The sequence below is a fragment of the Homo sapiens genome, chromosome 3 (genome assembly GCF_000001405.40).
Source record: "Homo sapiens chromosome 3, GRCh38.p14 Primary Assembly".
NCBI lineage: Eukaryota > Metazoa > Chordata > Mammalia > Primates > Hominidae > Homo > Homo sapiens.
In genome coordinates, this window is record NC_000003.12 from 25,236,544 (window position 1) to 25,251,281 (window position 14,738).

Here is a 14,738-nt window from a genome sequence, read left to right on the forward strand (position 1 = left end):
GATCTAGTGAAGGATGGAAGGAAAGAGAAGAGGAAAGAAAAGGAGCATCTTTTCTTCCCTTCACTATGCACTTTAATGCATATAAAAGCGCTGGTGCTCCGAACAATTAATATATACATGTGTAACAATGAAAATAAATGCTAGATTTTACATTAATGTATGTCTGCTGCTGTTTATTTAGCATTTCATATTGAATTTGGTGTTTGGTAGGGGTCATAAGAAAAATAGAGTGGAATTTCTCCTCATGCAATACATTTTATTAAGAGTGCTAGGAACTTTTTTGAATGTAAGTATTATTTATCTGGAAGATCTCGCATCATTTTTTTATGGTTAATAGAGTTTTCTAATATAATATTTATTTTAAACCCCGGAAATTCAGAGAATATCATTATTCTGATAATTCTGTTCTCTTATCCTGTTTCTTTACCTAACTCTAAACACAAGTTGTTGGTCTTCCAGAACTGAGTCAGTCAACTGTGCACTTGTATTTTGGTGTTGCTTGAAAGAGAGTATCTTACGCTATTATCATAATTGCTATCTTTCCATTTAATAAAGGTCTCCTTTTATCTGAAAAGATTTTCTTTAATAGTTAAAAGCTTTCTTGCATTAATATCTCAAAACAGAGGAATTCCATATAAAACAATACTCATTATGCTTTAGCTAATCCCTTTGGAGAACTTGGTTACTGAAGAACTGAGATGATCTCATTAAAAGTTGGTGGCATTTATTAGACAACCCCAAAGGGTGGCTTCCCAAAGCAGCATTATAAAATGATCTTAATGTAACCAGAATATTCTTTTAATAAATATTCTGCTTTTTTTCCTATCTGATCACTGCTGTCATTTATTTTTCTTTTTGCACTTCAATATTCTAAATGCCATATGTTATTTTCTAAATCTTACAGGAGAGAAAAATGTATCTTCTAAACAGTTTTTTGTTTTACATGAGCAGATAATATTTGTTTTTTAAAAAAGCCACCCTCCAAAAATATAATGTAAAACTTTTGATTAGAAACTCTTTCTGAAAATAACAGCTTTATTGAGATTTAGTTATATATTATAAAGTTCACCATTTTAAAGTGTACAATCCAGTGAGTTTAATTTATTAAGTTAGACACCCATCATCACTATCTAATTCCAGAACATGTTATATCACCCCAAAAAGAAACATCATAAACCATTAGCAGTTCTCCATTCTACTTCCCCTCAACCCCTGGCAAATGCTACTCTAGTCTACTCTACTTTTAATGCCAAAACCGCAATTACTTTTGCACCAACCCTATTTTGGATACCTCATATATATGAAATCATACAATATATGGTCTGTTGTGACTGGCTTCTTTTTTTTTATTGATACATAATATTTGTACATATATAGAGAGAGTACATGTGATACTTTGTTGCATGCATAGAAGGTGTACTTAGGATATCCATCACCTTGAGAATTTATCATTTCTACATGTCAGGAACATTTCAAGTCTTCTGTTCTAGTTATTTTGAAATATACAACACATTGCTGTTACCTTCTTCTGTCAAACATTAGAATTTATTCCTTCTATTTAATTGTATGTTTGTACCTATTAACCAACCTGTCTTCATCCTCCAGCGCCCCCCCACACATCCTTCCCAGTCTCTGGTATCTAGGATTCTACTCTCTACCTTTATGAGATCCACTTTTTTTAGTTCCTACATATGAATGAAAACATGGAATATTTGTCTTTCCATGCCTGGCTTATTTCACTTAACATAAGGACCTCCAATTCCATCCACGTTGTTAAAAATGACATGATTTTATTGTTTTGTATGGCCAAATAGTATTCCATTATATATACCATATAGACCAAATTTTCTTTATTCATTTATCCATTGGTGGACACTTAAAATGATTCCATATCTTTGATGTTGTGAATAGTGCTGCAGTAAACATGGGGTACAGGTATCCCTTTGATATACTGATGTTTTTTCCCTTGCGTAAATACCCAGGAATGGAATTGCTGGATTGTATAGTAGTTGCATTTTTAGTTTTTTGAAAAATTGCCATACACATTTGCATAGTAGCTGCACTACTTTACATCCCCACCAATGGTGTATAAGAATTCTCTTTTCCCTGCATCCTTGTCAGCATCGGTTATTTTTTGTCTTTTTAATAATACCTGTGGGCTGGGTGCAGTGGCTCATACCTGTAATCCCAGTACTTTGGGAGGCCGAGGCAGGTGGATCACGAGGTCAGGATCAAGACCAGCCTGGCCAACACAGTGAAACTCCTTCTCTACTAAAAATACAAAAATTAGCCAGGCATGATGGCGCGTGCCTGTAGTCCCAGCTATTAGGGAGGCTGAGGCAGAAGAATCTCTTGAACCCAGGAGGCGGAGGTTGCAGTAAGCCGAGATCACACCACTGCACTCCAGCCGGGGCAGCAGAGCAAGACTGTGTCTCAAAAAGTAACAATAGCCATGATAACTGGGGTAGGATGATAGCTCATTGTGGTTTTTATTTGTATTTCCCTGATGATTAGTGATGTTGAACATTTTTTCATACATCAGTTGACCATTTGTATGTTTTCTTTTGAGAAATGCCTATTCATGTCCTTTGCCCACTTTTTAATGGGATTGTTTATTACTATTAAATTGTTTGAGTTCCTTGTATATTCTGGATATTAGTCCCTTGTCATATGAATAGTTTGCAAATATTTTTCCTATTCAACAGGTTGTTCTATAACTCTGTTAATTGTTTCCTCTGCTGATCAGAAGCTTCTTGGTTTAATATAGTACCGTTTGTTGATTTTTTATTTTGTTGGCTGTGCCTTTGAGATCTTAGCCATAATATCTTTCCCTAGACCAGTGTCTTCAAGTGTTTCCCCTATGTATTCTTCTAGTAATTTTATAGTTTTGGGTGTTATGTTTAAGTCTTTAATCCATCTAAAGTTTATTTTTCAATTTGATGAGAGATAGGAGTCCATTTTATTCTTCTGCATATGGGTGTCCAATTTTCCCAGCACCATTTATTGAAGAGGATGTCCTTTTCCCAGTATAGGTTCTTGACCTCTTTGTCAAAAATCAGTTGGCTATATATACATAGATTTATTTCTGGGTCCTCTATTCTGTTCCGTTGGTCTGCGCATCTGTTTTTATGCCAATATAATGCTGTTTTGGTTAGCAGAGACTTGAAATATATTTCGAAATCTAATAGTGTGATGCCTCCCGCTTTGTTTTTTGTGTTCAGGGTTGCTTTGGTTATTCAGGCTCTTTTTTGGTTCCATACAAATTTTTTCTATTTCTGTGAAAAATTACATTGGTATTTTGACAGAGATTGCACTGAATCTGTAAGTTGCTTTGGGTAGTATCTTCATTTTAATGATATTAATTCTTCTGATCCACGAGCATAGATGCCTTTCCATTTGTTTGTGATTTCTTCAGTTTCTTTCATCAGTGTTTGGTAGCTTTCCTTGTAGTGGTCTTTCAATTCCTTGGTTAAATTTTTTCCTAGGTTGTTGGTGTTTGTTTGTTTTTTTTTTGTTATCGCTGTTTTGGGTTTGTTTGTTTGTTTTTGTAATTCTTGTAAATGGGATTGCATTCTTGATTTCATTCTCGGTTAGTTCATCATTGGTGTATAGAAACGCTACTGCTTTTTGTATGTTTTATGTATCCTGCAACTTTGCTGAATTTATTAGGTGTAAGAATTTTGGTGGAGTCTTTAGGTTTTTCTAGATATAAGATGATGTTCTCTGAAGAAAAGGACAACTTGACTTCCTCATTTTCAATTTGGATGCATTTGAGTTCTTTCTCATACCTGATTGCTGTGACTAGGACTTCCAGTACTATGTTGAATAGAAGTGGTGAAAGTATGCATCCTTGTCTTGTTCTAGTTCTTTTAGAAAAGGCTTTCAACTCTTTTCCATTTAGTATAATGTTAACTATGTGTTTGTTATATATGGCCTTTATTATATTTTGTGGTATGTTTCCTTCTATGCCTAGTTTGTTGATAGTTTTTTATCATGAAGCAATGTTGAATCTTATCAAATGCTTTTTCTGCATTTATTGAGTGATCATACAGTTTTTGTCCTTCATTCTATTGATGTAATATGTCAGGTTTATTGAGTTACATATGTGGAGACATTCTTACATCCCTGAGATGAACCCCACTTGTTCATGGTGTATTATCTTTTTGATGTGCTGTTGAATTCAGTTTGTTAGTATTTTGTTGAGGATTTTTGCGTCTGTGTCTATCAGGGATATTAGCCTGTAGTTTTCTTTTTTGTTGTTGTGTCTTTGTCTGGTTTTTGTATCAGGGTAATTTTGGCTTTGTAGAATGAATTAGAGAAAATTTCTTCTCTCCTCAACTTTTTAGAATTGTTTGAGAAGAATTGGTGTTCTTTGGAAGTTTGGTAGAATTTGACAATGAAGCCATTTGGCCCTAGGCTTTTCTTTATTGAGAAGTTATTTATTACCAAGTCAATCTCATTACTTCTTGTTGGTCTGTTCAGCCTTTCTATTTCTTCTTGATTAAGTCTAAGTAGATTGCATGTGTCTAGGAATTTATATATTTCCCCTGGGTTTTCCAGTTTATTTGTGTATAGTTGTTCATAATAGTCTCTGATGACCTTCTCCATTTCTGTGGTATCAGTTGTAATATAATGGGCATTCTGGAACATGCTGTTTCATTTACATATATTTGTACAATTTCCAAAGTTTCTCTAGTTACTGAGTTTTAGTGGTCTGAGCAGATACTTGTTATGATTTTGATTTTTAAAAGTCTGTTGAGATTTGTTTTATGTCTTTTTTTAAATTATACTTTAAGTTCTGGGATACATGTGCAGAACATGCAGTTTTGTTACGTAGGTATACATGGAACCATGTTGGTTTGCTGCACCCATCACCCCATCATCCACATTAGCTATTTCTCCTAATGCTATGCCTCCCCTTCCCTGCCACAACCCCCGGACAGGCCCGGGTGTGATGTTCCCCTCCCTGTGCCCGTATTTTCTCATTGTTCAACTCCTACCTATGAATGAGAACATGCAGTGTTTGGTTTTCTGTTTCAGTGTTAGTTTGCTGAGAATGATGGCTTCCAGATTCATGCATATCCCTGCAAAGGACATGAACTCATTCTTTTTTATGGCTGTATAGTATTCCATGGTTTATATGTGCCACATTTTCTTTATCCAGTCTAACATTGATCGGCATTTGGGTTGGTTCCAAGTCTTTGCTATTGTGAATAGTGCATGTGCATACGTGTGCATGTGTCTATATAGCAGAATGATTTATAATCCTTTGGGTATATACCCAGTAATGGGATTGCTAGGTCAAATGGTATTTCTAGTTCTAGATCCTTGAGGAATTGCCTCATTGTCTTCCACAATGGTTGAACTAATTTACACTCCCACCAACAGTGTAAAAACTTTCCTATTTCTCCACATCCTCTCCAGCATCTGTTGTTTCCTGACTTTTTAATGATCACCACTTTAACTGGCGTGAGATGGTATCTCATTGTGGTTTTGATTTGCATTTCTCTAATGACCAGTGGATGAGCTTCTTTTCATATGTTTTTTGGCCACATAAATGTCTTCTTTTCAAAAGCATCTGTTCATATCCTTCCCCCACTTTTCAATGAGGTTTTTTTTTCTTGTAAATTTGTTTAAGTTCCTTGTAGATTCTGGATATTAGCCCTTTGTCAGATGGATAGATAGCAAAAATTTTCTCCCATTCTGTAGGTTGCCTGTTCACTCTGATGGTAGTTTATTTTGCCGTGCAGAAACTCTTTAGTTTAATTAGATCCCATTTGGAAATTTTGGCTTTTGTTGACATTGCTTTTGGTGTTTTGGTCATGAAGTCTTTGCCCATGCCTATGTTCTGAACGGTATTGCCTAGGTTTTCTTCTAGGATTTTTAGGGTTTTAGGTCTTGTGTTTAAATCTTTAATCCATCTTGAGTTAATCTTTGTATAAGGTGAAAGGAAGGGGTCCAGTCTCAGTTTTCTGCATATGACTAGCCAGTTTTCCCCATACCATTTATTAAATAGGGAATCCTTTTCCCATTGCTTTTTTTTCTGTCAGGTTCATCAAAGATCAGATGGTTGTAGATGTGTGGCGTTATTTCTGAGGGCTCTGTTCTGTTCCATTGGTCTATATATCTGTTTTGGTACCAGTACCATGCTGTTTTGGTTATTGTAGCCTTGTAATATAGTTTGAAGTGAAGTAGCATGATGCCTCCAGCTTTGTTCTTTTTGCTTAAGATTGTGTTGGCTATATGGGCTCTTTTTTGGTTCCATATGAAATTTAAAGAAGTTTTTTCCAATTTTATGAAGAAAGTCAATGGTACTTTGATGAGAATAGCATTGAATCTATCAATTACTTTGGGCAGTATGGCCATTTTCACAATTTTGATTTTTCCTATCCATGAGCATGGAATGTTTTTCCATTTGTTTGTGTCCTCTCTTATTTTCTTGAGCAGTGGTTTGTAGTTCTCCTTGAAGAGGTCCTTCACATCCCCTGTAAGTTGTATTTCTAGGTATTTTTTTCTCTTTGTAGCAATTGTGAATGGGAATTCACTCATGGTTTGGCTCCCTGTTTGTCTATAATTGGTGTATAGGAGTGCTTGTGATTTTTGCAGATCGATTTTTTATCCTGAGACTTTGCTGAAGTTACTTATCAGCTTAAGGAGTTCTTGGGCTGAGATCATGGGGTTTTCTAAATATACAATCATGTCATCTGAAAACAGAGATAATTTGACTTCCTCTCTTCCTGTTTGAATACCCTTTATTTCTTCCTCTTGCCTGATTGCCCTGACCAGAACTTTCAATACTGTGTTGAATAGGAGTGGTGAGAGAGGACATCCTTGTCTTGTGCTGGTTTTCAAAGGGAATGGTTCCAGCTTATGCCCATTCAGTGTGATATTGGCTGTGGGTTTGTCATCAATAGCTCTTATTATTTTGAGGTATGTTTCATTAATACCTAGTTTATTGAGTGTTTTTAGCCTGAAGGGGTGTTGAATTTTATCAAAGACCTTTTCTGCATCTGTTGAGATAATCATGTGAGTTTTGTCATTGGTTCTGTTTATATGATGGATTACATTTACTGATTTGTGTATGTTGAAACAGCCTTGCATCCCATGGATGAAGCTGACTTGGTCGTGGTGGATAAGCTTTTTAATGTGCTTCTAGAATCGGTTTGCCAGTATTTTATTGAGGATTTTTCCCTTCGATGTTCATCAGGGATATTGGCCTGAAATTTTGTTTTTCTGTTGTGTCTCTTTCAGGTTTTGGTATCAGGATGATGCTGGCCTCATAAAATGAGTCAGGGAGGAGTCTTTCTTTTTCTATTGTTTGAAATAGTTTTAAAAGGAATGGTACCAGCTCCTCTTTGTACCTCTGGTAGAATTCAGCTGTGAATCCATCTGTTCCTGGGCTCTTTTTAATTGATAGGCTATTAATTACTGCCTCAATTTCAGAACTTGTTATTAGTCTGTTCAGGTATTTGACTTCTTCCTGGTTTAGTCTTGGAAAGGTGTATGTGTCCAGGAATCTATCCATTTCTTCTAGATTTTCTAGTTTATTTATGTAAAAGTGTTTCTAGTATTCTCTGATAGTAGTTTGTGTTTCTGTGGGATCAGTGGTGATATCCCCTTTATCATTTTTTATTGTGTCTATTCGATTCTTCTCCTTTTCTTCTTTATTAGTCTGGCTAGCAGTCTATTTTTTTAATCTTTCCAATAAACCAGCTCCTGAATTCATTGATTTTTTTTTTTTTTTGAAGAGTTTGTGTCTTTATCTCCTTCAATTCTGCTCTGATCTTAGTTGTTTCTTGTCTTCTGCTAGCTTTTAAATGTGTTAACTCTTGCTTCCCTAGTTCTTTTAATTGTGATGTTAGGGTGTCAATTTTAGATCTTTCCCGCCTTCTCCTGTGGGTATTTAGTGTTACAAATTTCCCTCTAAACACTGCTTTAGCTGTGTCTAAGAGATTCTTGTACATTGTGTCTTTGTTCTCATTGGTTTCAAAGAACTTATTTATTTCTGCCTTCATTTTGTTGTTTACCCAGTAGTCACTCAGGAGCAGGTTGTTCAGTTTTCATGTGGTTGTGAGATTTTGAGTGAGTTTCTTAATCCTGAGTTCTAATTTGATTACACTGTGGTCTGAGAGAGTGTTTGTTATGATTTCTCTTCTTTTGCATTTGCTGAGGCATGTTTTACTTCCAATTATGTGGTCGATTTTAGTATAAGTGCTATGTAGTGCTGAGAAGCATGTATATTGTGTTGATTTGGGGTGGAGAGTTCTGTTGATGTCTATTAGGTCTTCTTGGTCCAGAGCTGAGTTCAAGTCCCAAATATCCTTGTTAATTTTCTGTCTCAATCTAATATTGACAGTGTGGTGTTAAAGTCTCCCACTGTTATTGTGTGGGAGTCAAAGTCTCTTTGTAGATCTCTAAGAACTTGCTTTATGAATCTGGGTGCTCCCGTATTGGGTGCATATATATTTAGAATAGTTAGCTCTTCTTGTTGCATTGATTCCTTTAGCATTGTGTAATGCCTTTCTTTGTCTCTTTTGATCTTTGTTGGTTTAAAGTCTATTTTAAGAGAGACTAAGATTGCAACTCCTGTTTTTTTTGCTTTCCATTTGCTTGGTAAATCTTCCTCCATCCCTTTATTTTGAGTCTATGAGTATCTTTAAGTGTGAGATGGGTCTCCTGAATACACCACACAGATGGGTTTTGATCTTTATCCAATTTGCCAATTTGTGCCTTTTAATTGGGGCATTTAGCCTGTTTACATTTAAGGTTTATATTGTTTTGTGTGAGACTGATCCTGTCATTATGATGCTATCTGGTTATTTTGCCCATTAGTTGATGCACTATCTTCATAGTGTTGATGGCCTTTACATTTTGGTTTATTTTTGCAGTGGCTGGTACCGGTTTTTCCTTTCCACATTTAGTGTTTCCTTAAGGAGCTCTTGTAAGGCAGGCCTGGTGGTGACAAAATCCTTCAGCATTTGCTTGTCTGTAAAGGATTTAGTTCTTCTTCACTTATGAAGCTTAGTTTGGCTGGATATGAAATTCTGGATTGAAAATTTTTTTATTTAAGAATGTTGAATATTGGCCCCCACTCTCTTCTTGCTTGTAGGGTTTCTGAAGAGAGATCTGCTGTTAGTCTGATAGGCTTCCCTTTGTGGGTAACCTGACCTTTCTCTCTGACTGCCCTTAACATTTTTTTCCTTCATTTCAATCTTGGTGAATCTGACGATGATGTGTCTTGGGGTTGCTCTTCTCGAGGAGATACTCTTGAGGAGTATCTTTATGGTGTTCTCTGTATTTCCTGAATTTGAATGTTGGCCTGTCTTGCTGGGTCAGGGAAGTTCTCCTGGATAATATCCTGAAGTGTGTTTTCCAACTTAATTCCATTTTCCTCATCACTTTCAGTTATACCAATCAAACGTGGGTTTGGTCTTTTCACAAAGTCCTATATTTCTTGGAGGCTTTGTTCATCCCTTTCCATTCTTTTTTCTCTAATCTTGTCTTCATGCTTTATTTCTTTAAGTTGATCTTCAATCTCTGATATCCTGTCTTATGCTTGATCGATTTGGCTATTGATAGTTGTGTATGCTTCACAAAGTTCTTGTGCTGTGTTTTTCAGCTCCATCAGGTCATGTATGTTCTTCTCTAAACTAGTTATTCCAGTTAGCAGTACTTCTAACATTTTTTCAAGGTTCTTAGCTTCCTTGCATTGGATTAGAACATGCTCCTTTAGCACGGAGGAGTTTGTTATTACCCATCTTCTGAAGCCTAATTCTGTCAATTTGTCAAACTCATTCTCCATCCAGTTTTATTCCCTTGCTGGCGAGGAGTTGTGATCCTTTGGAGGAGAAGAGGTATTCTGGTTTTTGGAATTTTCCGCCTTTTTGTGCTTGTTTTTCCTCACCTTCTTGGATTTACCTACCTTTGGTCTTTGCTCTTGATCTTCGGATGGAGTTTTTGCATGGTTGTCCTTTTTGTTGATATTGTTGCTATTCCTTTCTGTTTGTTAGTTTTCCTTCTATCAGTCAGGCCCCTTTTCTGCAGGTCTGCTGGAGTTTGCTGGGGTTCCACTCCAGATCCTGTTTGCCTGGGTATCACCAGTGGAGGCTGCAGAAGAGCAAATATTGCTGTGTGCTCCTCCCTCTGGAAGTTTGGTCCCAAAGGGGTGCCTGCCAGATGCCCACTAGAGCTCTCTTCTAAGAGGTGTCTGTTGAACCCTGCTGGGAAGTGTCTCCCCATCAGGAGGCACAGGGTTTGGAGACCCACTTGAGGACGCAGTCTGTCCCTTAGCAGAGCTCAAGCCCTGTGCTGGGAGATCCACTGCTCTCTTTACAGCCAGCAAGCAGAAACGTTTAAGTCTGCTGGAGCTGCACCCACAGCTGCCCCTTCCCTCAGGTGCTCTGTCCCAGGGAGAGGGGAGTTTCATCTATAAGCCCCTGACTAGGGCTGCTGCCTTTCTTTCAGAGATGCCCTGCCCAGAGAGGAGGAATCTAGACAGGCGGTCTGGCTACAGCAGCTTTGTGGAGCTGCAGTGGGCTCCGCCCAGTCAGAACTAGCTGGGAGCTTCATTTACACTGCGAGGGGAAAATCGCCTACTCATGCCTCAGTAATGGCAGATGCCCTTCCCCCACCAAGCTTGAGCATCCCAGGTCGATTTTAGAGTTCTGTGCTAGCAGCAAGATATTCAAGCCAGTGGGTCTTAGCTTGCTGGGCTCTGTGGGACTGGGATCCACTGAGCATGACCACTAGTATCACTGTCTTCAGCCCCTTTTCCAGGGGAATGAACTGTTCTGTCTTGCTGGTGTTCCAGGTGCCACTGGGATACAAACAAAAACTCTGGCATCTGGTTCGGTGTCTGTCCAAACGGCCACCCAGTTTAGTGCTTGAAACTCGGGGCCCATGTGGTGTAGGCACACAAGGGAATCTCCTGGTCTGTGGGTTGTGAAGACCCTGGGAAAAGCCTAGTATCTGGGCCAAATAGCTCCATCCCTCATGGCGTGGTCCCTCACAGATTCCCTTGTCGAGGGGAGGGAGTTCCCTCACCCCTTGAACTTCCCAAGTGAGGCAATGCCCCACCCTGCTTCTGCTCATCCTCCATGGGCTGCACCCACTGTCTAACCAATCCCAATGACATGAACCAGGTACCTCAGTTGGAAATGCAGAAATCACCCGCCTTCTGCGTTGGCCTGGCTGGGAGCTGCAGATGGGAGCTGTTCCTATTTGGCCATCTTGCCCGGGAATCATTTTATGTCTTAACATATCTATTCTGAAGAATGTTCCAAGTACTGATTAGAGGGAATGTGTATACTGTAGCTGTTGGGTGAAATGTTCTGTAAATTAATGTTAGATCCATTAGTCTAAAGTGCAGTTTAAATCTAGTATTTCTTTGTTAGTTTTCTGTCTAGATGATCTGCTTAATGCTGAGAGTGGAGTGTTGAAGTCCCCAACTATTATTGTATTGGAATTCCTCTTCCTTTAAATCTAATATTTGTTTTATGTATCTGGATGCTCTGGTGTCGGATGAATATATGGTTCAGGATTTTTATTTCCTCTTGCTGGACTGATCCTTTTATCATGATATAATGACTTTTTGTGTCTCTTTGAACTGTTTTTGATTTTAATGTCTGTTTTATGAAGTATAGCTACTCCTGCTCATTTGTGGTTTTCATATTCATCCAATATCTTTTTTCATCCCTTTACTTTCAATCTATATGTCTTTAAGGTGAGGTGAGTTTCTTGTAAGCAGCATATAGGTGGATCATGTTTTTAAAATTCATTTAGCCACTCTATCCTTTAAGTGAAAAGTTTAATCTGTTTACATTCAAGATTATTATTGATATGGGAGGGCTTACTCCTATTATTTTATTAATTGAGCTATTGTTATTTTGAATATTCTTTGTTTCTTTCTCTCCTGTTTATCATTGTGTTTTGTTTTCTGTAGTTGTAACCATTGGACCCTTTCCTTTCCTTATGGTGTGTTTGCTCTACCAGTGTTTTTTATACTTTTGTGAGTTTTCATGATGGTAGATAGTATCTTTTTGTTTCCAGGTGTAGGACTCCCTTAAAGCATTTTTTACAGGACAATACTAGTGGTGATGAATTCCTTCAGCTTTTGCTTGTTTGAGAAATACTTTATTTGTCCTCCTTTTATAAAGGATAATTTTGCTGGATCCTTGGCTGGCAATTTTTTCTTTCAGTATTTAAAATGTATCATTCTGTTATCTCCTGGCTTGTAAGATGTCTACTGCTTATATGTCTACTGTTAGTCTGGTTGGGGTTCCCTTATAAGTCATTAGATTCTTTATCTTGCTGTTGTTTGAATTCTCTTTGTCTTTCACTTTTGACAGTTGGGCTACACTCTGCCATGAATAAGAGTTTTTTAATTATATCTTTTTGAAAGTCTTTGAGCTTTCTGTATCTTAATATCTAAATTTCTTGCTAGACTTAGGAAGTTTTCAGCTATTATTTTGTTAAATAGGTTTTCTGTGTCTTTCATTTTCTCTTTGCCTGATGGGACACTGGAAATTCAAATATTTGGTCACTTTATGGCATCCTATACATTATGTGGGCATTCTTCATTCTTTTTTATTCTTTTTTAAAATTTTTATCTGGTTTATTTCAGACAACCTGTCTTCAAGTTCCGAAATTCTTTTTTCTCCTTGATCTAGTCTGTTATTAAAGCTTTTGAATGTATTTTGTATGGCATTTGGTGAATCTTTGGTTTCAGAATTTGTTTGGTTCTTTATTATGATATCTGTCTCTTAATAAATTTCTTACTTATATCCTTGATTATTTTTCTGATTTCTTTGTATTGTTCATTTGTGTTCTCTTATATCCCACTGAACTTTTTAATATCATTAATTTGAATTCGTTTTCCAGAATGTCATAAATTTATTTTGCATTGAAATCTGTTGCTGGAAAATTGTTGTGATCCTTTGGAGGTTTCATATATCCCTGCTTTTTTTGTTTCTTGTGTCCTTACATTGATATCTGTACCTCTGATATAATAGTTGCTTCTTTCAATTTTTTTTAATTTGCTTTTGTAGAGGAGGTTTTCCTGAAGAGGTATCCATGATGTTGGTTGGGTAGGTCACTTCAGCTTTGATTCTGGGTATGCAGTAGTGTAGTCTCTGTATGATTTTTTTTTTTTTTTTTTTTTGGCTGTAAACAACATCAGTAGTGTCTGTGATTTCCTTTCTTAGTTACATAGGGTATGGTTGTTAGTGGAGGCTGTGATGAAGTTTTTCAGGGATGGGGATGTCAGGTAAGTCAGGTAAGTCAGTCCTGGGGCCCCAGTGGTAGCAGCAGCAGGCTGTGTGTTCCTGTTTTGGGGCCCCAGGGCGGCATATGCTTGCAGCACTATTGCCAGGTCCTGTTGGGCCAATTATTGGGTCACCAGGTGGCTTTCTCTGGTGCTGATAGTAACAGTGGTGGGCTCGGTGGGTGGGAAGATCTTCAGGCCCCTGGGCATCAGAAATTGCTTGATTAATGGCAGTAGCAGTGGTAGGACAACCCTCTGACTCCCAGGGAGTCCACACTGGTGCTGGTGGTGGCTGTGACAGGATGAACAGATCAGTACTCAGGCCTGCAGGTGGCATGTACAGGTGGTGCCAGCTGTAGTAGTAACAGCAGGTTGGATGGGCTTGTTCTCAGGCCCCTGTGAGGGATGCCAACAATGGTGGATGGGGCAGGGTGATCCCCAGGCATGCTTGTGCATGGATGATGCAGGGCCAGCCTGTGTGGGTCTATCCTCAGGCTCCATGTGATGTGTGCAGGCACTGGCTAGGGTAGACAGGGATAGGGTAATTCCCAGGACCCCAGATGAATGCTTGGGTGGGGGCAGCAGTGGTTGTGCTGCAGTCCTACTACTGAGGAGGGCAAAGTTGTTTTCAGTGGCAGCAACCATAAACAGGCAGCTGGGGAATGAACACATTGGTCTCAGTTGGTGGCTTCGGGCAGGATAGCATCTCATGGCACTTGTAGATGTGTGGTGTCCCCACTACTGGGGATTGTGGGGTCACTGACAGTGGCTCATGATTCACGCCTGGTGGCAGCAGCCAGAAGTGGCACCTGGCTGTGGGCAAGGGATGTCAATTGGGCTTCAGAAATGTGGAGATGAAGAGGCTGTTGGACCCCAGGGTAGGATGCAGTCTGGTAGGGGCTGGGCTCTCAAAGTGGCACCTTGCTATAGCTGCTTAGGACTTGGCGGCTGTATGGAATCCAGTGTGAATTCCCTTCCTCAAGCAATGCTGTCATGTGATCTTCAGGCAGCTCCCTGTGTTAGTCTCAGGACTCACAAGGGTTAAGAGACTCCACAGTGGCTAAGACTGCAGGAGTCTGTGGTGGGAATCTGTAGCAATTGGGTGTTGTTCACTTACCCTTTTCCCACAGTTGGGAACCTCTACAGGCTTCCAGTTGATCCCAGCAGAGCATGTTACCTTGCTTTTCTCCCTTTCATTGCCTTAGGTGTTTCCTGTTACTTCTCTACTGAAAGTGTTCTCTGTTAGGTGTTCCATTGTCTGCTTGCTGTTTAGGTTCTTTTTTGTGGAGGAGTGAGTACCACATTCCTCTATTCAGCCACCTTGAATATGCATTCTTGACTGGCTTCTTTAACATATGTCAATATATTCAAGGTCATCCATATTGTAGCATGCATTACTACTTCATTCATTTTATTATAATATTATATTTTATAGATATAGAATGTTATATGTATCCATTCTTTACAAGATGGGCAT

The 14,738-nt window shown here is 38.4% G+C and overlaps 1 protein-coding gene across 1 annotated transcript in view, besides 1 other annotated feature; it reads left to right on the forward strand.

Annotated features, from left to right (window-relative positions):
• Positions 1 to 14,738, forward strand: part of RARB (retinoic acid receptor beta) — a 768,612-nt gene that overhangs the window by 407,223 nt on the left and 346,651 nt on the right. The window lies entirely within an intron of this gene.
• Positions 10,335 to 10,914: an enhancer, noted in NCBI's record as "H3K27ac hESC enhancer chr3:25288369-25288948 (GRCh37/hg19 assembly coordinates)". NCBI's record gives its function as "activates a minimal SCP1, AML or CMV promoter by ChIP-STARR-seq in primed H9 embryonic stem cells {active_cell/tissue: H9 hESC(primed)}" and the evidence as "EXISTENCE:reporter gene assay evidence [ECO:0000049][PMID:30033119]".